Source organism: Homo sapiens, chromosome 15 (genome assembly GCF_000001405.40).
Source record: "Homo sapiens chromosome 15, GRCh38.p14 Primary Assembly".
Classification (NCBI taxonomy): domain Eukaryota; kingdom Metazoa; phylum Chordata; class Mammalia; order Primates; family Hominidae; genus Homo; species Homo sapiens.
Window position 1 is genome coordinate 35,585,088 of NC_000015.10, and position 26,907 is coordinate 35,611,994.

Below are 26,907 nucleotides of genomic sequence, written 5' to 3' on the forward strand. Positions count from 1 at the left end.
TCACATTTTACCAGGGCCCAGCAATATTGCTCACATGATAATCAGTAGGAATTTTGTTTCCTTTTCAAATTGATTAATGAGTACTTATTAACTCACAGGCAATTAAAGGGCCAGTGGGCACAAATTCTCCGTATTTTCAGTAAATGCCGTTATTGCCTAACACTAAATAATATAGAGACTACTATTTTTAATCTTTACCACTAATTAGAAGACAATGGCACAACTTCAAATCAATCAATTCTTCACAGCTAAAAATGGAAGTACTTGTTAGAGTAAAAGCCGATGAAGGAGAGAGAGAGTGCCAGAAAGAGAGAGAGAGATTTTCTTTTGTTGTTCCTGTTTATGAACTTCTAAAAGTTAGAAATATTTCACCTAAATCTTTTTATTTTAACTCAAAATGTTATTCTATTGGGGTTATTTATCTAGATTCCAACAAACACTGTCAATTTTTTCTTATGGATTTTGTTTGAGACGTACATCACAGGTAGATATGTTTTTAAGTCGATCAATTTGACATATTAGCTTAAAATACAGCCTGTCCCTTAAGACTCAATGTCTTTGAAAATAGGAAGCTTGAGGTTGAAATCACTTAAGGCTGAGTTAGAAAAATGGCCTATATTAAAGTCAGTAAGCTTGTTTTTCTTTTGATCATGTGTAAACAGAAAATCATGTCTCACAGGTGAAATTGTGTATTATCAACCTGCCTTTCCATTGTTCTTACATTCTGAAATGAAAGCCACTAATGATGATTCTTTATTTAGAGCTATGTGTTCGTTTTACTAGACTGTCTTTAAAATAATATATAATTGGATTCAGTAGATTCAGTAAAACATGAAAAAATACATGCTAGACAAATCTATAGTAGCTGCAGAAATCTATAGCAAATACAAAAATCTAGAGTAAATTGACACTGGAAGGACAAGAGCTAAAGGGTCTGTTGACTGTAAATTTTGATATGTGCACAATGCCTACCTCCAGAAATAATAGCCAAACAGCATAATGAAACATAAGCTTCAAATGGGCCAAGTGAACAAGCATTTGACTTTTCTTGAAAATGATATAGGCTCAGTTATCTGTTTAATCACCATTAATTTTGCATTTAACTGCCAACTGCCTTGTTTTCTATTTAAGTTTAAACATACATAAAGCTTTTCTTTTCCATTATATTTCTTTTCAATTTCTACAGTGATCATTTTGCATCACAAAAGGAATTTAAAGAGTAATGCAAGGTACGCCTCCTAAGCCACAAGGTCAGTCTCTTCTGGTGGTGTTCTGTTTATTTGTGTCTTACCTTGAATTCCATGTCGTCTTGGACACTTTTCTCCTTCTGTAAACTTATGATGTCTCATTACAACTTTGCTGAACTTGTGGCACTTAGACATGACTTCTTTCCTAGCTTTAGTTCAATTGTTCACCCCATGACTTGGAGTAACAAGTAACAAATTAGTAGCTTATTTAATAGGGATAAAGACTGATAGTCTCACTCATGCTCTTTTTACTGGGAGTCAGTAGGCAGGAAGCTAAAATTAGCTCAGTTTTGTCAAATTGATTTGAGTTCATCCATGGTAAAATGAAATCTAATATTTTCCTTCCTCCTACATGGTTAGAAATTTTGGTTCTCAGCAGGTGTTGAATTTAAATAGTAAGAACAAATGGAAGCCACAGCTATGGCTCTGAGAACAATTATATAGGTCCTTGAAAATCCATTTCCAATCTATATTAAAAAAGAAATGTTATTTTGCAGCAATGAGGAATTAAAGTCTGCTGAAATTATTTTTTTTTCTGCTTCAAGAAATCAGTCCAGAAATCCCAAACTTTTGTAAGTCATGGTCTTCTTTGAAACCACATTTCCCTTATGTTTCACATTGTCATTGCATGAATTCTGTTACTTTGATGTCCTCAATAATTTATTACTTTTTGCATTTTTCTTATGACACAGACCACAGAGCTATAAGAAACTGACCATTGCATTTCACGTGACTTGGGCTTAAAATATGATAAAGGAAAAGAGTAAAAGTTGTCATGGTATCTTATATTAAAAAAGGTATTCTATGTAACAAAGCTTATTAAATTCAATGAGCTTCTCTGTAAAATAATGACCTTTTTATCAAATTTTATATAATGAATATTTTTCTGCAATGAAATTCTACTTGTTTCTCTCTTATAATCACTATCACTAAGCAACAGACTTATTTGCTGCTTGCAATAATGAGATACAGATGAATTCATTATAATTGTTTCATCCCACCATCCAACAACAGTTACAAATAAACTCTCCTAAAGTTTTTGCTCTTTAATTACCAAAAAAAGTTCAGCCAGAAAAAAGACTCAAATACCTAAAGTTTGATTTCACTGACCCCGAACAATTACAGTAACTAAAACTAAAAATGGCAGATACTACGCAACATCTTCCACTTTTCCTGGCAGAAAACCTTCTTTTCCTCACAAGCTAATTCAAAGTATGAATCCTATAAGATTCTTTTCATCTTTACCACTTGCTGATGGCAAACTGAATTTTAAGTAAGACTCCCTTATGAAGCAATTGTGATGCCTCATGCAGTTTGTTATACTTTTGAACTATAGCAACCTGGTAACATAGGTGAAAGCCCATAATGATTGTGAGCATGTGTGTGTGTGTGTGCGATTTTATGATGCATGGGTTTTTATTGTTCCTATCTTTGTGTCACTGTGTACCCAAAGATACTGTCACTGTTCTTCTCCCCACCAGAAGTCAGAAGCATAACACCTCTTTGTAATCTTAAAAACAGTCATACTTTCTATAAATATTCAAAATACAATCGCTTACCTGGATTAATAGAAAATATTTTAAAAGACTCCAAAATTGGAAACTAGGTCAGTCCCTATTCTCTTTCAAATTTTGGAAAATAAATGAGATTGGAAAAACACCAAGGCACACAGAAAAATTCATATTCTATCAAGGTCAAGCACAACCACCTACTTGGAGCTCAGCATGATGCTATCACTCCTGAGCCTTTTCCCCTACTTCTAATATTTTCCTTTTTTTTGAGATGGAGTCTAGATCTGTCACCCAGGCTACAGTGCAGTGGCATGATCTCAGCTGACTGCAACCTCTGCCTCCCGGGTTCAAGCAATTCTTGTGCCTCAGCCTCCTGAGTAGCTGGAATTACAGGCATGTGCCACCATGCTGACTAATTTTTGTATTTTTAGTAGAGATGGGGTTTCCTCTTGTTGGCCAAGCTCGTGTCGAACTCCTGGCCTCAAGTGATCTGCTTACCTCAGCTTCCCAAAGTGCTGGGATTACAGGTCTGAGCCCCTGTGGCTGGCACCATCTTCTAATATTTTCTAATACTGAAATCCTAAGCAATGGAAAGCAACATGATAGGGGACTTCACATTCTTTAAGGACCCTTGATCGTTCTGTCTCATTTGTTATGGATTTCAAATTTTTATTTTGCCTGTTGAACATCAATTATTAGTTATCATTAGTTTTCTATGGCCAATAGTTATTTTTCTTTACTAGAATTTTATGGGCTTTTGTTCTCACACATTTTGTGGCACATATATTCCTTTGGGTTCACTTTCCTCTTTGATAAAGTACATCCTTTAATTTTACGGGGAGGGTCTGTGTGTGGTAAACTCTAAGTCTTGGTAGATCCAATAATATGCAGATTTTGCCTCATTCTGAAGTAATAGTTTAAGCAGATATAAAATTCTAAGTTGACATCTTTTTTCCTCAGTGCTTTCAAGATATTGTTGTATTGTTTTCTGGATTTTATTGCTTTAGATGTGAAATCTTTGTGAATCTATTTTTATTCCTTTGCAGTTAAAATATTTTCCAAGGTAGGTTTTAAGATGGCTTGTTAAAAATCCTCGGTATTTTGCAGTTTAGCATGAGTTTTGGTGAGGACTTATTTTTATTATCCAGTAATTAGGAATGCATTCTCTATTTCATGTCTTTCTTCCATTTAAAAAAATTATTAACAATGATCTCTTCAAATAATGCTTCTCATCCATTTCCTCTGTTTTATTCTTCTCAGAGTTTTATTAGAAGAATGTGTAAATTCCTCATTTTGTCTTACATTTCAAAATTGCTCGTCCTATTTTAAAAGCCTCATTGTCTCTGGCTTATTGGGTGCATTTTTTTTTCTTACTCCTTTTCCTACTGTCCAGTAATTCTGTTTTCAATTACGTCTAATTTAGTTTCATCTACCCATTGCATTTTTTATTTCAATAGCTATATTTCTAATTGATCCATTTTGATATAAATTTTTATTTCTTCTGTTTTTTAATTTCCAAGTAGAAGTTATTAATTCAGTTATGTCTATGAAGATGCAAAATACACTTATTTTAAAGTCTGGCAATCTTTTCTGTGAGATTAATTTCATACAAAGCAATTCATGTTCTAATTTTTTTTTTTTTTTTTTTTTTTTTGTGACGGAGTTTCGCTCTGTCGCCCAGGCTGGAGTGCAGTGGTGCCATCTCGGCTCACTGCAAGCTCCGCCTCCTGGGTTCCCACCATTCTCCTGCCTCAGCCTCCCAAGTAGCTGGGACTACAGGCGCCTGCCACCACGCCCGGCTAATTTTTTTTTTTTTTTTGTATTTTTAGTAGAGACGGGGTTTCACCATGTTAGCCAGGATGGTCTAATTGTTGTTTATGATTTCTTTCTTATTGGTACATTACTTCTTATGTTTTGAAACATTGGTTTGCAGCTTATTTTGCACAAGAAGGTGGTTGTTTTCTCTCTCACTCTGGACTTATTCACTTCTCTAGAAAATTTGAAGACTCATCCACCGGGATCCTGCTTAGCAAATATTCATGTACTTTCTTATGTTTTCCACTCTTGTATTTATTTTAGGATTATGTGACTAGTTCTAGCTAAAAGGCTATGAGTGGAAGTAACATGTATCACTCTGAGTCCAAAAAACAGTTAAGTGTTTATGTGAGATAGTCATGTTTTCTTTTCTTTTTAAATATTGTTTATTCATTTATTTTAGAATAAGGGGGTACATGTGCAGGTTTGTTAGATGAATATATTGCATGATGCGGAGGTTTGGGATTTTCTTGATCATGTAGCCCAAGTAGTGAACATAGAACCCAATGGGTAGTTTTTTCAATATTCCCCTCCCCCTCCCTTTCAGAATTCCCAGTTTTTATTTCTCCTATCTTTGTATCCCTGTGTACCTAATGTTTAGCTCCTGCTTTTAAGTGAGAACATGTAGTATTTTGTTTTTCGTTTCCACATTAATTCACTTAGGATAATGGCCTCTAGCTGCATTCATGCTGCTGCAAAGGACATGATTTTGTTATTTTTATAGCTGCATAGTATTTTATGGTGTATACATACTACATTTTCTTTGTCGAGTCCACTGTTGATGGCCACCAGAGTTGATTCCATATCTTTGTTATTGTGAATAGTGCTGTGATAAACATACATGTGCTGGTTTCTTTTTGGTGGAATGATTTCTTTCCTTTTGAATATATATCTAGTAATGAGATTGTTGGGTGGAATGGTAATTCCATTTTTAGTTCTTTGAGAAATCTCCAAACTGTTTTCCACAGAGGCTAAACTAATTTGCATTCCTACCAACCTTTTTTTCTGCAACCTCGCCAACATCTATTTTTTTGACTTCTGAATAATAGCCATTCTAACTGGTGTGAGATGATATAAGATAGCCATGTTTTCTATCTCATCAATGAACATAAAGAACACTGCCTTAACTGATGACATTATCGTGTGAAATTCCTTCTCCTGGCTCATCCTGGCTCAAAAGATCCCCTACTGAGTACCTTGTGACCCCCACTCCTGCCCGCCAGAGAACAACCCCCTTTGACTATAATTTTCCTTTACCTACCCAAATCTTATAAAACGGCCCCACCCCTATCTCCCTTCGCTGAATCTCAGCCCGCCTGCACCTAGGTGAAATAAACAGCCTTGTTGCTCAAAAAAAAAAAAGGAGCACTGAATTGGCAGAGGTACTATATCAAATCATCTCAGACTCCCAAGTCACTGCTGGATGACAGTTGCCAAGGAGAATCATCTGACCTGCATTAGAGTGTGCTGTGAATGTCGAATAAAACTTTGTTGTGTAAATCTGTTGATATTTTGGGTTGATTTGGTACTGTCACTTGCCCTAACTAGTATACTACCTGCCACCTCATCTAATGGGAGTGTATCAGGGTAAGTGGCAGTACCAACTTATATAACTAAGTATCATATTATAACTTGGTTCACCATCCCCATGCGGAACTGAGTTATAAAATGATGATTCAAAGTTATACCTTAATGATATTTGGGATACTGAAGATTCATTCACTAAGCCAAAAGGCAAGTTTTTCAGTTACTATAAGGCTGATGTCATCCCAATTCCCTGGGCCTAATGCCTTTTTAAATTCCAAGCACCAATCAGCAGAAATTCCCTTAACCTTTGCCTACAAGTTGTGAAGCTTGCCCTTCATCTGGAGTACTTTAGGCTTCTGAAATGGAACTGCCTGCTGCCAGTGTGCTTCTGGACCTGATGCCCAGCAAGCCAGGGGCTTCAGCTCTACTTACCACTATGAATTTTTGGTCTACATAGATGCTTATTTAAAAAAATATATAGCTAAGTATTTTTTTTTCTTTTTATACTTGCTATGCATTTAGAGTAGAGGGGTATGCCAAATCATGAATTTACTTCACTAGCTTGATTTGAAGACATTCTAAGTGCAATGCTCCAATGTGGAGTTTGGAGATTGGTATTCATGAAAAACTATGGTGGTTCATGTACGCCTTCTCAGATATCTGTGGGGGTGGAAGAATATGCAATTGTTGCTGGTCATTACTTCTGAAATCATTTATAAATGGGCTTTATGAAGTTCTTGGCTTTCGATATGTATTTACTATCAGTTGTCCATTTCACACTCTGACAACTTTTATGATGCTTTTTAGAGATGTTTTGGAACCTCTGTTGGAAACAATAAGCTAGGCTAGTGTATTAGTCCATTTTCACACTGCCAATAAAGACATACCCAAGACTAGGCAATTTACAAAAGAAAGAGGTTTATTGGACTTACAGTTCCATGTGGCTGGGAAGGCCTCACAATCATGGTGGAAGGTGAAAGGCAAGGAGGAGCAAGTCATGTCTTACAGGGATGGCAGCAGGTAAAGAGAGAGCTTGTGTAGGGAACTCCTGTTTTAAAACCATCAGATCTTGTTAGACTCATTCACTATCACGAGAACAGTGCAGGAAAGACCCACTCACATAGTTCAATTACCTCCCACTGGGTTCCTTCCACAACACGTGGGAATTGTGGAAGTTACAATTCAAGATGAGATTTGGGTGGGAAGACAGCAAAACCATATCAGCTAGTGATTATCAAACTTGACTGATATATGGCCTGGTGGAAAAATGTCAAGAATGCTTAATGTTGATTTAAATTATTTTTATTATTATCATTAATTTACTTAAATATGTACAAACATAAAACTAGCATCTTATGATTAGACCTCAGATACAACTATAAAGCCAAAACAAATTTATATATTAAATACAAATAAAACTATAAAACTAATATGATTCACAGTAACACATTTATTTTAATGTGACAGATGATACTGCTTTGCTAGAACCAAATTGATACTTGAAATATAAACATATTAATGACTATTGAGGTTCATTGTATTAGATAGATCATGGCAGAAAATGAATGGCATTTCAGTACTTAAAGAGGATTTAAAAAAGGAAATATGTACAAAGGTACAGACTGGCTTAGAAGAAACTAAAGAGGGTTGAGAAACAGCAACAGTGAAGAGCCATTATGATCTGTAAGGCTGTAGAAGCAAATGAAGAAACAATGATCAGAACAGAGAGAGTGTGGCTGCAGGGATAGAGGAAAAACTTAGAAAATCTATGATTTTTGTAAAAGGGGCATAATTAACTTATAGGAACACACCCAAGAGGAAACCAGCAAAATAAATGCCCTGACCTCACTATTGTCACTCTTCAGCCTCCTGCTATAGATCCCCATTTACTGAACCTAACCAAAAAAGAAAAACAAAACAGAGTATGAGAAAGCCTCTTGATGAAGATCATGGGCACATAATAAAAAGAGTAGGATAGAGGAAGTAGTCTGGAGAGGTAAGGGAAAACATTCATTCAAGTTCATTCAGTATTCATTCATTCAATATGTGCTACAAGGTACTCTGTGATGACACGATTCTCCCACAACTTAAAAAAAATTAAAATAAGTATAAAAATGTTTGCTCTTCCCTAGGTATGAATACAAATTTACATTTAAAGTCTCTTTTATTTTTCCTTATTAGTCCATTACAATTTAAATTGTAATTGATATCAATACAATGATAAAACAGAAGGAAGGCTAGAGCACTGAAATTTGTGGTAATATCCAATTATAATATGGTTATCTAGCTGATCCTAAATATGCATTTTAAAAATATCACCAAATGAATACAAAACATTTTCTAAATGTTAAAACAAAACAAGCAAACAACATCAACAGAATCTTCAAGGAGAACTTTAAATTGTGCCAATATATTCACCCCCTCTGAGTTCATGGAGCTCATTTGAGAATACTTGAACTAAGCCTTTTATGCTTCAATATGGATAAATTTTCTGTGCTCTGAAACAACCGGCATGTAACTGCTAGAGAAATCTACCTAAAGCTCTGCTGTGATTCTGTAATTCTTTTCATTAAAACAATCTTCCATGGCTCCCCATTTCCTACAGATTTAAGTATAAAATTTGCATCCTGAAATTCAAAGTCCTTAGCTTACTTTTTGAGCTTTATCATCTATTACACTTCCCTTAGACATGTTGTATACTCCAGCCAAACTAGGAGGTGTATTATGGTCTGAACAAACTCTGGTTTTCTACTTTCTTATCCCTGTTCCTATTTTTTTTCCTCTCCTTGGAATGCCAGCTTCTTTATCTCTGCCTTTTAAAATCCTGCACACCTCTTGAAGCTCATTTCAAGTCTACCTCCTCTGTGAAGATTGAGCTAACACCAAGGATCAGGTTGTCAAATCACTCACACAAATGAGAGACCTTTCTCAGTATCAAGCTTCACAGCTAATTCCAAGGATACAAGCATTCAAGACACAGGCAAGCAGAGAAAAGGCTGGGTCATTCCACAGGGCTTCCCACATCCTTGTTGTTGTGGACGTGTACTCTCCAACCCAGAATAATAGATGAGGTCTCTAATGAGGGCTGCAGGTCACCTCACACAGTGGACAGCATTGAAGTTAGGAAACATCTCCACTTCATGCTCCGGAGAGTTGTATAGCTTATGTCACATTCTCTAGGGAGCCATGCATCATAAATCCATACATTGTAGGCTTGTTTACCCTAAGCAATCCTAAACCAGAGACATCCTGCATCATTATTCAATTTGCCCAGAAGTCCAGTTTTTATATTTGCAAGGATATTAGACTGAAGCATTGTCTTCTTTTTCTAGAACCATCTTCAGGAAGAAATGGATCACAGATCAATTTCTTTAACTCCTTTCCCTGCCGACACTTATGATTACTCCAGCCTTACGTAATCTTTTCCTTCTATCACTCTGTGCCTCTATCGTAGCACTATTTTTCTGCTTATTTAAATTATCTTCTCTCCTGCAACCTGGTAGAAGGGATATGATATATTCATTTTGAGACTGTGATAGTACTTTGCAAAGTGCCTTGCATATAACAGTTATTTAATAAACGTTGAAATGAATTAGGAGAAAGTAAGAATTTTTTTCTTCTCATTATTTCCCACAGATAACACTGTTGAGTCCTGGACATTGGAGAGAAATCAGATAGTCCAAGTTCAAGTGGGTTTAAATATTAGCTTGTATAGATAACTTAATAAAAACTACACAGAATTTATGCTAAATCATGCAAAATTAAGTAAAGTTGAGTTCATGGACTTTCCTTCTCATTCTTGAACACCATTTTCCTCTCTCCTCAGGTGCCTATATCTAGATCTTATTTGCAGGGATGAATGTTGCTCAAGGGAGTTGCTGGCTAAGAGACTTCACTATTACCAGGGGAGAATGTTATCTAGACACTCATCACTGAAGTATCAGAATCAGTGGTAGGACAGATAAAAGCAATAAAGCCATGCTTCTAGGTGGGAAATTGGAAAGTAGTCAGTCAATGCGTCAACTAAAAGGATAAGGCAGAGACATAACCAGGAAACACAATGAGGACAAGGAAACACCCTAGCTGTTGAAATGAATGGTTCAATATTCAGGTCTGAAAACCTAGTATATTCTTGGAGGTATTGGTTTTCTGTGTATTTAGAAAGCTTTCCTGGGTTAAAGTCATACTTATAAAGATAGAGCTGGCCTGACCAGCAGAGTTTGCATGGTCTTCCCCACTTCTCATATACAATTTAATTCTCAATATGTAAAAATCATTGGTAATAGTTTAAGATGTCTTCCTTCTTAGGAATATGTGCATACACCCAGAATTCAGTCTTAGGCCACAATGATAAAGGGCTTATTTCTGGTTTTGGGTTGAGGAGAACTGGGGGCATAAGAACTTTCCTAACTATACTTAAATTGCCTGCTAGGATGTCGTGACATACCATCCTCTTACTTGGCTCCATAACATTGAGAATTTATAGATATTCCCATGCTTAAGCTCTCTAATTGCTAATAAAATAATAAATTTTATGCTATTTCTTTTTCCCTACAGAGAGAACAAAAAACCCTGGAGCTATATATACTTGGTTAATGTTTTTGTTTGCGTAACAGTGTTTCTTTCCTTATCTGTTTTAAACAGTGTGCTTCCTGGAAGTTGTAATTTTTTTTCTAAGACTGCATAACAAATTACCACAAACTTAATGGCTTAGAAGAACACACATTTATTATTTTTCTCAGTTGCATGGGACAAGAGCCTAAATGTTGCTTAACTGGTTCCTCAAAATATGTTCTCATGAGACTGCAACCAAGGTGTTGGATAGGGCTGGGTTCTCACCAGAGGCTAGACCAGGGAAGGATCTGCTTCCACATTTCTTAGGTTATTAGCAGATTCATTTCCTAGCATCTTTAGGATGCATGGCAGCTTGTTTCTTCAAAGCCAACAACAGAAAGAAAGAAACTCCAGCACTTTGGGTGCTATAATAGTATGTATTGCATGTATGTAATCACTTACATCCCTTCACCTTTGCCATTTTCTACTGGTTGGGAACAAGTCACAGGGCCTTCCTACACGCTATGGGAGGGATTACATAAAGATGTGAATACCAGAAGGTAGGGACCAGGCTGGCCACCTTAGCGTGTGTCTGCCACAGAGGTAGATATAATGCTTTTTATATAAATTCAAAGTAAAATCAGTTTATATGCACATAGATTCTTCATGACTGTGTGCTGGTGATGACTCAAATGATAATGAAGATCATGGAAATGCAGAATCAGAATCAGATGTTAGTGATTTGTCTAAGGGCTCTAAGTAAGAAAGAGTAGCTGAAGATGAGAGGTCTGCTCTGGCATTATTTAACTTGACATATGTCATGTATGCTGATGAAATGCTTTCTAACTAGGAGCCTAATTTCCATCCTATGCATCTCATAAGCTTGGAGAGTTCTTATTCCTTCAACAGTGTTTTAGGTACCTATGTTTTCCATGTCTTCTGCTGTGATTTAGACATATAGGAAGTGGCTAAACTACTTACATTTTCTGAAATCATGGAAAGGAGAATACTACACTAGTAACTTGAGGCTGCTTTGGGTTTTGAAAATAACAAATCTACAATAAGAACACTGATGTTGCTTGCCAATGTTGAAGAATTTTATAACCAGCAAAGGACTTGTGTGGGAGAACAGACCCCCTTTTCCCACTGTATCAAGAGCTTTTTATTATTGTCTTGTTTACCCTAAACTTACTAAAAGTAAAAAAAATGTGAGGAGGAAGGGCATAGAAAAAACTCCCAATTTAGACATTTTCTGTGGGAATCATTTCAAAGATCTGCATTTAAGACCTACTTCAAACAATGTGCTGTCACTACTAACTGCCAAGAAGAAATTACACCTATAGAAAAAGAGAGCACTTGAATTTCCAAATTACATGGCCTTAATTTTTCTTTCACTACTGCTACCTTTCACGTATTCTGTGACTGCCAAACAGGACCATCAAATGCTCTTTGAACATGAGCTACATTTTCCTGCCATTTCTTACCCTGCTGAAAATGTTCTCTCTGCTTCTGTTGCTATTTGTCCTTTTGTATCTATTTCTGCATTTCAAATCTTCTTTTGTATTTGTCTCTGCATTTAAAATTTTAGCTCAAAAACTACCACACTTTTTAGTTTTCTGATTGCTCTATCATCCTTTATATTCTCATAGTGCCTGGCAACCCTCCTATGGCTCTTGTGGCCACATTGTATTCCATAGATTTTTTTTTTAAATTCATATAGCATAAAATTGACCACTATAAAGTGCAAAATTCAATGGCTTTTAGTACATTCATGATATTATGTAACTGTCACCCCTATTTTACTATCTTATTCCCAAGCACTTCTACCACCTCTCCCCCTCTCCCCTACCACACACACAAAACACCCTGTACCCATTAAGCTGTCAATCCTCATTTCTTCCAATCCTGGCAACCACTAGTATGCTTTGTGTCTCCGATGAATTTGCCTATTCTGGATATTTGAAATAAATAATACAATATGTGGCTTTATATATATGGTTTCCTTCACTTAGTGTAGTGTTTTCAAGATTTATCCATGATGTAGTATATATTAATAATTTTTATGGCTGAATAATATTTCATTATGCAGATATAACACATTTTGTTCATCCATTTATAAGTTGATAGACATTTGGGTTGTTTCCACTTTTTGCACTTCTTAGTTTTTATGAATAATGCTACTGTGAACATTTATGTAGAAGTTTTTTTTTGAACACCTGTGTTCCATTCTGTTGAGTATACACCTAGAAATGTAATTGCTGGGTCACATGGTAGCTCTATGTTTAACATTTTGAGAAACTGCCATACTGTTTTCCAGAGCAGCTGCCTCATTTTATATTCCCACCAACAAAGTATCTTGTTATTTTCTGTGTGTGTGTGTGTGTGTGTATGTGTGTATGTATGCCTGTTTTAATTCTAGCCATCTTAATGGGTATGAAGTGGTATCTTGTGGTTTTGAATTGCATTTCCTGGATGACTAATGATGTTGACTATCTTTTTATATGTTTGTTGGCTGTTGCATATCTTCTTTGGTGATAATCCATAGATTTTTATGTTGATTTCTTTTTTTAATACACAAATTAAATTTTTATTTAAATTATTATTAATTAGGAAACTGGAAAGATGTTGATAATCAATTCAAAGAATAATCCAAAGAGCAGACATTTATAGATTGGTAATGTTGAAAGGAAACCACAAATGGAAGGAAATATTTTTTTCCCATGCTATTCCCTCTTCCTGGGATTCTTAATCACTCTCTCATTCACTTTAAGTAGAAAGTTTCTCAACTTTCAGCTCTATCCTCAAACATCACCTCATCAAACTAAAGTGTGTTGTCATATTCCATACTATTTTTGATCTACCCTCATTTGGCCAAAACTAAATTGAATAGGAAAAAACAAACTGTTTTTCCTACTCTCACAAACTCCCTCAACACAGAACACTTATGATCACCAAAATGTGTGGAGATTTCTCCCCACCAACAACAAGTACTCAGCAGAAACTGCTAGGTATGCTTCAATTTAAATCAATTCTCACAGTCTCTACCTGGAGTTAACATCAGATCCTACAGCTTTCGGCCTTAGTCCCACAAGACTGCCCTCCACTTCACATGCCAATCACAAGTCCCAAGTTGTGACCTGTACTTCTGGCCAACTAACAATAAGTTAGGGGTTTCCTTGACACCACTCCTTGGCATATATTAATTAGCTAGAGTGGCTCACAGAATTCAAGGAAACTCCTTACTTACTATTATCACTGTATAACAAAGAATATGTTAAGGTATAAAAATGAAGAAGCAGATGGAGAGATCCATAGAACAAGATTTGGAAGGGTCCTAAGCGTAAGGGTTTCTGTCCACATGGAGTTGAGGTACACTTCCCTCCCAGCAGTGGATGTTCATCAGCCCAATCCAGGAGCTCATCAAATCAGGTTCTTTTAGGTTTTTCTGGAGGCCTCATTACATAGATACACTTGATTAAATTATTGATCATTGTTGATCAACTCAAACTTTATTCCCTTTTCTGTCCTTGATGGGCGGGTGGGGTTGAAAGTTGCTAACATCTAATTACACGATTTTTTCCCCCTGTGAATTTGTGCCCATCATGAAGCTTTCCCTGCCCTGGTAGAAATTCCTTCTTGTTTTTCCTCTTTATACATTTGACATATTTGTTAGAAGTAAAATGGTTAAAATCAGAAAATAAGATAGAAAACATAACCACTGGTGATGGATCAATGTAGATGTTGCACAGTGGGTATTCAGTTAGTGTGTGCTGAATGCTTTCTGTATACCAGTTTGGTGGTTATCAGAGGCTGGGAAGGGTAGGGGTTGGAGGCGATGAAGACAAGTTGATTAGTGGGTACAAAAATACAGGTAGAGAGATGAAATAAGACCTAGTCTTCATTAAATCAGTAGAGTGACTATAGTAAACAGCAATCTGTTGTTATTACAAAGCAGCTAGTAGACAATAATTTGAATGTTTCTAGCATAAAGAAAAGATAAATATTTGAAGTGATGGATATACCAATTACCTTGATTTGATTATTACACATTAATATAAATGTATCAAAATATCACATGTACCCCAAAATATGCATATCTATTATGAATCAATTTCAAAAGGGCAAACATTGTGTGATTTCATTTATATGAAGTACCTTAAGGACAAGCTCATGGAGTTACTTTCTTATCTCTCTCCTGAGACTACAAGTTTCTTGAGGACAGGAAATATGTCACTAATCTTTGAATCGCTCAGGGGCTTTGTTAAATAGTTCAGGGCACACTAAGTGCTCAGCAAATACTTATTGATCTGAATTTAGAAGTCTCAACAAAATTTGTTGTATTGCCTGAGTCAGCCCAGAAGTGAAGTCTTCACATCATATTATTTTAGTATAAAACTATTCTTACTTAGGATATCAGCAGACTCTCTGTTAATATGTCCGTTGGCTTTCAGTGACATCTGAATTGTTGACTGCATGTTTATTGAAACATTTTTCTGGCTTTAGGATGTCATACTTCCCTAGATTTACTTTCTACTTCTCCATTTACTGCTTTTCAGTCTCTTTGGTAGACTCTTCTTCTCTGATGAGCACTTAAAGATGAGCACTTAAAGATGAGCATTCCCTGGATGTTTGTCCTTGGAAATCTGTTTACACTGGTACTAGTTCTTCCCAAATGCTTGTCCTCAAATAGTGTCATTTCATGATAGCCATTTTTTCAATGAAGGTCAGTGTAATGAGTCTTTTATCTACGTTAATTGGTTAATTGGGAGGACTGTCCTTCGTTTTAGGATTGTGTTATCAATACTTTTTTTGTGTCGAAATATCTGTCTTCTACTTCTATGAAACAGTAATAATAGTAAAGGCTACTTATATAGACTTTTAATGTCCTTAACAAATTAAAAATTTAGCAACGCTCACAATCATTTAAGAATGTACCAGTCAAGCAGTGTAATGTACAGCATTTCCAGAATGAAGGATAAAAGCATATGACCATGTCAACTGATGCAGAAAAAGCATTTGACAAATTTCTACATCCTTTCATGATAAAAGATGTCAACAAAATAGGTATAGAAGGAAACTTCCTCAATATGATAACTGCCATTTACAAATGCCCACAGCTAATATTATAATCAATGAGAAAAAACGTTTCCTCTAAGATCTGGTATAAGACAAGGATGCCCACTCTTCTGAATAGAAGTGGTGAGCACTTCTATTCAATATAGTTCTGGAAGTACTAGCTAGAGCAATTAGACAAGGAAAAGAAATAAAAGGCATCTAAATTGTAAAGGAAAAGTAAAATTATCCCCATTTGCAGATGACATGATCCTAGATGTAGCAAACCTTAAAGACTTCTCCCAAAAAACCTGTTAAAACTAATAAAGTCAGTAAACTAGCAGGATTAAAAAAAATCAATATACAAAAATTGGTTGCATTTCTTTATACCAACAATGATGTATCTGAAACAGAAATCAGGAAAACAATCCCAGTTATGATAGCATCAACATGAATAAAATAACCATTTAATCAAGGAAATGAAAGATCTGTACACTGAAAATCAAAAAACACTGATGAAAGAAAGAAGATACAAATAAATAAAAAGATATATTATATTTGTGGAGTGGAAGAATTAGTAGTGTCAAAATATCCTTAATACCTAAAGTGATGTGCAGATTCAGTGCAAATCCCTATCAAAATTTCCATGGCACTTTTCACAGAAATAGAAAAAAATAATAATTCTAAAATTTATATGGGACTACAGTAGACCCTGAATAGACAAACAACCTTGAGAAAGAAAAACAAAGTTGGAGGCTTCACACTAATTTCAAATTATATTGATATCCTGTTCTATACTTATTCCCTTGGTATCATAGTCAGGGTTCCTCAAAGGAATAGACCTAATAAGGACATATATACATATTTATATATATATAAAAGGGGATTTATTATGGGAATTGGCTCATGTAGTTATGGAGGCTGAGAAGTCCCATGAGGCCAGGCGTAGTGGCTGACATCTGTAATCCAACCACTTTGAGAGGCTGAGATAGGAGGATCACTTGAGTCCAGGAGCTCAAGACCAGCTTGGGCAACATAATGAGAACCTGTCTCTACAAAAAACAAATAAAATAAAATAAAAAATTAACCAGGCATGGTGTTGTGCACCTGTAGTCCCACCTATATAGGAGGCTGTGGTAAGAGGATTGCTTGAGTCCAGGGGTTTGAGGTTACAGTGAGCCGTGATTGCACCTCTGCACTCCAGCACGGGTGACAAAATGAAATCCTGTCTCTAAACTATATGTGTGTGTCGGCCGGATGCAGTGGCTCACACCTGTAATCCCAGCACTTTGGGAGGCCCAGGTGGGTGGATCACCTGAGGTCAAGAGTTTGAGACCAGCCTGACCAACATGATGAAACCACATCTATACTAAAAATACAAAATTAGCTAGGTGTGGTGGTGCATGCCTGTAATCCCAGCTACTCGGGAGGCTGAGGCGGGAGAATCGCTTGAACCTGGGAGGCAGAGGTTGCGGTGAGCCGAGATTGTGCCATTGCACTCCAGCCTAGGCTACAAGAGTGAAACTCCATCTCAAAAAATAAAATAAATAAATAAATAAATAAAATTGTGTGTGTGTGTGTGTGTGTGTGTGTATTTAAAAAAAGTAGAAAGAAGTTCCATGATATAGCATCATCTGCAAGCTGGATAATCAGGGAAGCTGGTGGTATAATTCAATCTAAGTCCAAAGTCATGAGAACCATGGGAGCCAATGGTATAACTCTCAGTCCAAAGTCAAAAGCCTGAACACCTGGTGTTCTGACATCCAGGGGCAATAGAAGAAGGATGTTCCAGTCCCAGAGGAGAAAGTGAATTCACCTGTCCTCTGCTTTTTTGTTCTATCTGGGTCCTCAACAGATTGGATGAAATTGGTGAAGGTAGATCTTCCTTACTTAATCTGCAGATTCAAGTGCTGAACTCTTCTGGAAACACCTCCACAGACATATCCAGAGATTTTACTTTAGCAGCTATGTGAGTATCCCTTAACCAAGTTGACACCTAAAATTAACCATCACATTGGTAATCTCATTCATTGACATAACTTCAATTATGATACACATGATGATGACTTCCAAGTCACAAATGTCTCTATTCAACTCAAATATGTATATCCAATTTCTTATCAAATAATTCTCCCTCCATGTTCCATGATAGTTTTTGATTTAGCACATATAATCTTGATCTCATCGACCATGCACCCACCTACCTCCCTCTCTTTCATATTTCCTATCTCATTGAATGGCATCATCTGGTCTCTTAAGTCAGAAGCTGGGAAACCCCTTTAGGTTCCCTCTTCTTCAACGTATTTTCCACACCTTATTACAAACTATTTGTATTTTTATTTTTATAATATTCCTACAGACAATCCACTTCACTCAGTTTCTCATTTTCTTCGTGCTACCTTATTTCAGACTACTGTCAACAACTCATCATCCATTCAATATACATTTTTAATCTCTGTTGTGTTTCAAGCACTGGAGGTACAACGTGAAAACAATTTGAGAGCCTATTTTGAGGGAACAATTTTAAAGTTACTGGGCCTTTTGGGCATTAAAACATAGTTTAGGTTATGATTTATTTTAAAATCATGAGTATTTGGAGATTTTTTTTGCTGTGCTTAGTGGGTACTGTGTGTATTTTAGAGACTGACATTGAAAACCTTTTGGTTTGGGGAGTTTTAAAGTAAATGACTCATGTTGAGGAAAGAGGTTATTACCTAAATCTGGACTGCGGCCTAAGGAAATTCCCTTAACCTCTATTCTGGTTTCCTATTTCAAAATGGTTGTGTAGGAGGCTAATGGAAGTTAGTTGGTTGCTATGATCCAAAAACTCTATGGGTGAAAATTTAAAGTACAGATTTCTTATTTAATCGTTAAACAGCTTTAGTTGTGAGTTCTATGTCCTGGTATAATGGATCCTGATTATTAATGCATTAAATATGCATTCAGTGAATTCAAATGTTGCTAATTATTCTTTTACCAATCAAAGAAAACTCAAAGCATGGGATTAAGAGGGGTTGGCCAAAAGTATTTGGACCAGGTTGCATACCAGGACCATGAAGAAATTGAGAACAGAGCCTACATCTTTTATACTATGGTTCAAAGCAAGGGCTGTTGGAATGTGCTGCTTCTCCAAAGTAGGACTTATGAAAAAATGAGGGTCCCAGCATAGGGGAAGCATCAATGTCCTGAAGAAAAAGGAGAAGCTTCTGACTGGGTTCCAGGGAGACAAGCAGAAAAGAAGCAGAACTATCTGGAATGGATGATTACACCATCTGCTTTTGCAGTCTTACCTTGGGCAGTGTCCAGTACTTGATGTTTTAGGAGGAAAAAAAAATCTATCACTTTTTATATTTTTCACTTGGTAAATCATTAAAATCTGGAAACTATCCTCTGTAATACATTTTTTTGGCTAGGTTTTTCCCTTTGAGTCTTGATTGAGTTTTTACACTGATACAGAGCTTAAAAATATTAATGAAAATATTTCTTCTGTCAAAAGGCTGGAATGCATGAGTATTGTCAGTTTGCAGGTAATACGGCTATTTTGCAAAAATTCAGTATGATGGAGGGTGCCTAGACAGTCTAGGAAATTTTGCAGAAAGGGTACAAATACTTCACATGTCCTAATCGTCTTGAGATTTACCACTCGGATTTATATTTTTAGTAGTGGCTTGATTTTTGTTAGCTATTTCAGTTTTATTCTGGGTCAAAAAATGAACAGAAGAAATTTAGAGGAGGAACAATAAATATATGGAACAACTTTCTTTATAATCCTTAACTCTCAGGGTGAGTACATGGAGATTGCCATCATTAAAACTAAAATATTACAGATTCAGAAAGTTACTGTTGGTTATAGCATTTGTTCAGGGTCCCCAAGGGTATGTTTTACTTCTGAGTTGATGGTCTAGGATGTGATGTTTTTGAACAATGTTCCCTAATCAGAAATGAAAGGATAGAATTCATTGACAATAACTGCGAGGACATTTCCAGTTATCCTCTTCCCTGACTTTGGGGCCATTTTATAGAATCATAGCAGTTTGGGAGTCAAAGGGACTATCATAATAAAATCAAACTTTTTCAGTTTTGAGTCCAATCTTTGGCCTCAGAATCTTCAATTTCGTAACTTTTTCATGATCATTAAGTTGTCAGTGGTGCAACTGTGACTAGAACTGGATCCCCACTCCTTGTCCAGAGTTCTTTCCTCTTACCTGATTGCCAGTATTCTCCTTTCTTTGTTGATAATTTTCTTCAAAATCTTCTTTGAAGCAAATGAACAAAAACAGTTTCAAATGGCTGCTTGCCAACTATTTCCTCACGTGAACTCCATTTTTATTCTTTCACTAAGTTCTTTTGATAAAGAGAATCATAGACTATTAGACATGGAAAGGATATTCATGGATTCTAATCTCCTTATTTAACAAATACGAAAACCAAGACCTAGGCAGTCAACTTGCCTGAGGCCACAGATAATGGTAACATTAGAATATGAACTAAGGATTCCTGTGAATTTAGTGATTTTTTTTTTTTTTTTGCAGAGAACTTCACTACCTTGAAAGAACCATCTCTTTTTCTAAGTCATGTACATACCAGTTAAACACATTATGACTATTAATTAAACAAAAACCTCAGGACTTCAGATTCTATGAGACACAGAATATCATGTCTCTTAGAGAATGTGTGAGAAAAGAAAAGAGCAAAAATTTAAAGAAACAAAGTGATAAATAAAATCAATATTTAAAGGGGAGCTTAAATGAAATCCCAGAGATGAATGATTCGTGCTTTTAACAATTTATGGGCTAATTAATTAGCAGCTTTCCTGATGTTAAACTTTGGTGTCCGATATTTTTTCCTCTGGAAAATACAAGGATACCAGCTTGTTCTAAGGCTCCAAGCCATTCCCCGTGGACTGTTCTTGGCCTCTGCCTTCACAGACCATAACTTGAAAAAGAAAATTGACAGACAGAAAGAAAAACCCTTAACAGCTGGAGCTTTAATTTACCTACATGAGTAAAAATATTTCAGTGTCTGAGATTTCTCCTGGGTTGCCCTATATGGAAGTAGAACAAGAAGCCAGAGGAAAAATCACACAAAAAGCTTTTACAAGAAACATTATAAAAAGAGCAAATCCTGAGAATTGTGTTTAATAACAGCAATGATGAATTTCCTGGCAGTCAGTACCAAGCAGTTAAAGACCAACCATCATGTGAGAGAGGCTGGATTAGTTAGAATGGTCTACAGCAGCCTAATAAAGAGCGCCAGAAGATTTATTCTCTCATACATATAATTTTGAGATATGAATGATTCTATATTTAAGAAATGATTCACATTAATTTATACTAAGAGATTCTAGTTTGACTTAAAGCAGGGCCTGAAAAATTGAAGAATAATGCTTTGAACCACCAAGTTAGTGCCCCACAGAATATTTTAAAATTATTTAACACACATCATCTCAGTGTCAACAACTCATCACAGATAAACTATCTAATTAACAGAACCCTTCATAGTATTTGATAACTGAGTCTTGGCTCGGTTTTTATACCAGAAGGGCAATCCTTGATAAGCAGAAATTATAAAAGCAGATTTTTAAAGGCATTAATTCAAAAATAGAATCAAACTGATTTCAAATTAACCCCCTGTTGGTATTTAAACTTATTTAAAACCACTTGGCTTAAAGATAACACTTGGAGAGGCTGCTTTCGACCAGAGTCAGGCTTTGTCTAGACTGTCAGCCTCTGTATTTTTATTTCCTTTGTTGTGTACCAGCCTCCTCATACCCAGGGTAATTGATATGGGTCTTGTGCTAGGGACAGATGAGTGTATCCTGTCATTGAAGCCCTTCACAAGATGCCTTAATTATTGGAGCTAATTTGAAGATTTGTGCTCTGTGGTCTACTTAGGAAGCTCAATTGTTTTCTTTTCCCAATTCCGTGTTGGCAACACTTTCAATAACGAATCCAATAAAGAATTAGTATTTGGCTCCCTGTGGTCATGGAAAAAGGACAGCAAGAATAAGCAACAATAATAATTCCTTTTTGTATAGATTTTTTTTAATGTGACCAAGTTATTGCTTCAGTTTTGGGACAAAGACTCATGAAAAAGTAGAAGTGGAATCTTAATAATTTCCATAAGGGATTGTAACACGATTCTTTGATCTCTGCTGCTAATTAATATCCATTTTGCAATGAAATAAAATGTAGTTTCTAATGGAGAGAATTCAGGATAAAGAAAAGGGAAGGCAGATCCATTGAAAATGATGTTTAGATTACAAAATGAGAAGCAAGATGAAACACAATTAAATAATCAATGTTGCAATTAGGTAAATCAAATTACCAAACTCTCAATATAGAGAATTGGTGGATGTGAACCCTGGTCAGGAATCTACTCTTATATTTCTTTGTGACCATAAGTTTCACTAAGGTTTGCTGAATCTTATTCTACATAATAGCTGGAAAATTAGAGATAGCTGCATATTAACAGAAGAATGCACCTTTCAGGATCACAAACAATATATACTGGATGCTTCCATTTTGGTGTTACGGATGTGTCAGTGCACAGATGGTTGATACATAAGTATCAGTTGTAATTATCTTTGGGTGGCAAAACTATAAATAATTTTTTATGTGTGTGTTTAGCTGTATTTTCTAAAATGAGTATGCATCACTTTTATCATAGTAAAATAGTTAATATTTGTAAAGTGCCTGCTTTGTGATATTCTTTCAGATATGTACATCCTGACTTTCAACATTCAGTTGGGGGAAATTAGGGTAGATAATATAAATAAAATTTCAGCTAGTTCATTCTTTCTACAATGCTGATTTCTGGGGTTGATTATTATTTAGATATTTACCTTATGTCTAAAAACTATTATTCAGACACCGAGCAGACAGACATGGAACATCTCTTGGGACCTTGTGTCTGATACACATAAATTCAAACAGTTTTAAAACTCTTCCACGTCTTCCTCTTACCTACTACTGTTTGCTAATAAGTAGACTGAGAAAAGGGAAACTATAGCAGTGCAGTTTTTCAATTTTACATTAACACAGTAAAACTTTGCAAGGGGACAGAAGGATATAGATTGTGTTTATGGAGGGATTTTCTTGATGCCCAACTTGTGAATTGGCTCTTCTTGGCAAATGGACTTTGATACAGAATGACTTCTCAAGTAATTATCTAGGAGAGAAACTTCAGTTCTGCAGATTACCTTCTTGTGGTTAAGATCATGTCTTTTAACGAGGAATAACTTACCTTAATGAATATTTGAGAAGATTCCAGTATCTCATTTGAAACCTAATATCAAGAACTATTTTTTTTTTAGTCACTATGCAGTGACTCTGTGCCAAGGTCACTGCACAGTGATTATTCATGTATTTGCAAGCCAGTATTTATCAATCTCTTAGTTTTTTTTCTTCTCTAGATCTAATTTTCTCATTTACCGTAGAGAATATCTGTCTTCTATTTCTCCCTGTGAGTCTTCTTTGGTCCTATGCGGAGGCCATCAATATGGTACTATATATTGAAATTCTCAAATTTTAATTTGAGAACCGAGGCAATAATTCTTAACAGTTATGGTTCAAAATGACATGTGGAACCCCATTCCTGGAGATACTGATTTTGTAGGTCTAGAGTGAGACCCAAGCTTTCCCTTATATTTTCTCAACAGTGTTTTTTGAAGAAGAAAAATCTTAAGATTTTAACAAAGTATGATTTATCAATTTTTTATAGTCTATGAAATTTGAGTACTATTTAGTAAATTTTGCTTGATCTAAGGTGACTAAAAGATTCTCTTATATTTTCTTCTAGAAATTTTATAGCTTTAGCAAATTTTAAATTTGAGTCTATAATCCATTTCAAGTTAAATCTTTGTATATAAAAAGTAAGGGTCCCGGGTTGTAGTCTTTCTCTCTCTCTCTGTGTGTGTGTGTGTGTGTGTGTGTGTGTGTATGTGTGTGTGTGTGTGAATATTTAATTCCCAGTTGTTCCAACACATTGGAATTTAACTTTTCACACTGGATTGACTTGGCACTTTTACCAAATATCATTGATCATATACGTTTGGCTCTATTTCTGAACTTCTGTTCCATTAATCTATTTTTTATGCTAACATCTTAGTGATTATAGCTTTATAGTAAGTCTTACAATCAGGTAGTGTAAGTTCTTCAACTTTTTTCTTTGTTTTCAAAATTGTTTTGAACATTCCAGGCCCTTTGAATTTCCATATATATTTTAGAATTGATTTGTCGATTTCTGAAAAAAGCCTGTTGAATTTTGAATGTGATTGCACTGACTCGATAGATTAGTTTGGTGGGGAACTGACATCTTAACAATATGTATTCTTTTGATACATGAGCATGGAACATAAGTATTTATTTAAAGCACCTCTAATTTCTTTTAATACTGTTTTGTAGTTTTCAGTGTAAAGGTCTTATACATATTTTGTTAAATTTATGACTATTTCATATTTTAATGCAACTTTTAATTGAATTATTTTCTTTATTGTTCTATATCCCACAGTTACTTATTTCATACATTTATTGAACTATTATTGCAGTATAATAAACTACATATGTAATATGTATTTTGATAGGTTTTTATTTATTTATACAACCATCATCACAGTCGAGAAAAAGAATATTTACATCAAACTTCAAAATTTCCTCATGCCTTTTGCAGTTGATCACTTTCTCCACATCTAGCTCCAAATACCTGTTAACCTACTTTCCATTATTATATATTAGTTTGTATGCTCTAGAATTTTATGGAGACTGTATAATCCAATATTATCCTTATTTCAGGCTTTTTTCACAAAACATAATGATTTCAAAATTTATCCATGTTGTTGAGTTATGAATAATTCATTTAATTTTATCCCTGAGTAGTATTTTATTGCATGGATACACCAGGATTTTCTCTCCTTTCACCCATTGATAGACATTGGGTTGTTTCTCATTTATGACTATTACAAATAAAGCTCTTATGAACATTTGTGTACAAGTCTTTGTGTGGAAATATACTTTTGTTTCTCTTGAGTAAATACCTGTAAATGGAATGGCTGTGTTTTGTTTCTCTTGAGTAAATACCTGTAAATGGAATGGCATGTGAATCTTTAACTTTTTAAGAAATTGCCCACTGTATTTTTGTGATTTTAGTTTCTGATTATTCAATGCTAGTATAGAGAAATACAATTGCATATTGCTTTGTATCTTGTGACTTTGCTAAATTTGCTTACTAACTCCATAGCTTCTTTGTAGATTCATTAGGGCTTTCAATAAAAGTAGCCATACTATCTGCAAATGTAGACAGCTTTACTTCGTTTTCAATTTGTATGCCTTTTATTTCTTTTTCTTGCTCTATTGCTCTGGGTAGAATCTCTACTGCAATATTGCATTAAAGTAGTAAAGGTAGACATTCTTGTAATTTCTTTTTCTGGTTTTTGTATCATTGAATTGGAAAGAACTCTTTTCTACCTTTGGGAAGAGATTGTATAGAATTGGTTGTATTTCCTTCTTACATGTTTGGTAGAATTTATTAGTGAAGCCACCTGGGCCTGAGATTTTCTTTATAGGAAGTTTTTAAACTACAAATTCAATTTCTCTAACAGATACAGGAATATTCAGCTTATCTAATTCCACTTGAGTGGGTTTTGGTAGATTGTATCGTTCAAATAAATTTTCCATTTTATCTTAGTTATCAAATTTGTTGGCATCTAGTTGTTTATTAAAATACTTTATTAGTCTTTTGATGCCTATGGAACCTGTAGTGATGTTTGTTCTCTTACTTATGACATTGGTAATTTGTGTTTTCTCTTTTTTACCTTATCAGTCTGGTTAGAGTGTTAGGAGTTTTATGGTTCTTTTAGAAGAAGCAGCTTTTGATACTGTCTGTTGTTTTCTGTTCCTTGATTTTCTCTTGTGATTTTTCTTGCTTTTCCTCTCAAGTTTTACTTGTGCTATAAATTTGATGATATTATTTCTTCTTACTTCAGTTTAGTTTGCTCATTTTTCTAATTTCTTAAGGTAGAAGCCTAGATGACTGATTTTCTTCCCTCCTTTTCTACCTAATATACATATTTAATGTCACAGATTTTTCTCTAAGCACTGCTTTATCTGCATTTCACAATATTTTTGTTGCATTTCTATTTTTGTGCAGCTAAAAATATTTTCTCATTTACTTTGTGATTTTGTTCTGTGACCTAGGATTTACTTAGTTATGTGTCATTTAACTTCAAGTATTCAATGATTTTCCAAGTATCATTAAAAAAATTGATTTCTAATTAAAATCAGTGTGGTTGAAGAACACACTTTGTATGTTTTCAATCTTTAAAATTTTATTGTGTCTTGTTTTATGGCACAAAATGGTCTATCTTCCTAAGCATTTCATGTGCACTTGAAAAGAATATGTATTTTGCTACTGCTTGGTAGAGTGTTCTATAAATATATACTTGATTAAATTGATTAGTAATGTTGTTCAAGTCTTCTATGGCCATACTGATAGCTTCTCAAATTTGTTTATCAGTTATTGAGAGTGGGATATTGAAATCTCTAATTATGGATTTGTCTATTTTTGCTTTTAGTTTTATCAGGTTTTGGTCATATACTTTGAATCTCTGTTATTAAGTTCAGCAATAAATATAAGTACACATATAGAATTGATAATACTTCATGATAAATTGACCCCACAATCATTAGAAATTGACCCTCTCTATCCCTGGTAGTATTCATTGTTCTGAAGTTTACATTGTCTAATATAAGTATAACTACTTCTGCTTTCTTTTGATTAATGTTTTCATGGTGTATCTTTTCTGTATCCTTTATCTTTTAATATATCTCTATCTTTATATGTCTAGTGAGTTTCTTTTAGACTATGTGGCTCTAAAGAGTTTGGCATTGTTTATTTTTTCAAGTATCTTAATGATACATGCCTTTTACTTGGGCTATTTAGAAATAATACATATTTTGTGGCCATTTTAAATTGAATTTTCTTTTCTATCTTTGGTTACTTTACAAACTCATTAAGACATAATTGAAACACAAACTGTACATATTTAATGTATACAATCTGATCAGTTTTGACTCATATACACAGTGATGAAATCATTACCACAATCACAATACTGACCATTTCCATCACTGAATGATAGTATTGTATGGGTTTAAATCGTTGGATAATTATTGATATGTGAATCTATCATCTTGCTATTTGGA

General features: G+C 34.9%; 1 long non-coding RNA gene across 1 annotated transcript in view, besides 1 other annotated feature; it reads left to right on the forward strand.

Moving 5' to 3' along the window:
• DPH6-DT (DPH6 divergent transcript) overlaps positions 1-26,907 on the forward strand; it is a 312,807-nt gene that overhangs the window by 38,893 nt on the left and 247,007 nt on the right. The gene's annotated exons all lie outside the window — the stretch shown is intronic.
• Positions 18,374-18,523: an enhancer, noted in NCBI's record as "active region_9191". NCBI's record gives its function as "activates an Ori minimal core promoter by ATAC-STARR-seq in GM12878 lymphoblastoid cells {active_cell/tissue: GM12878}" and the evidence as "EXISTENCE:reporter gene assay evidence [ECO:0000049][PMID:35858748]".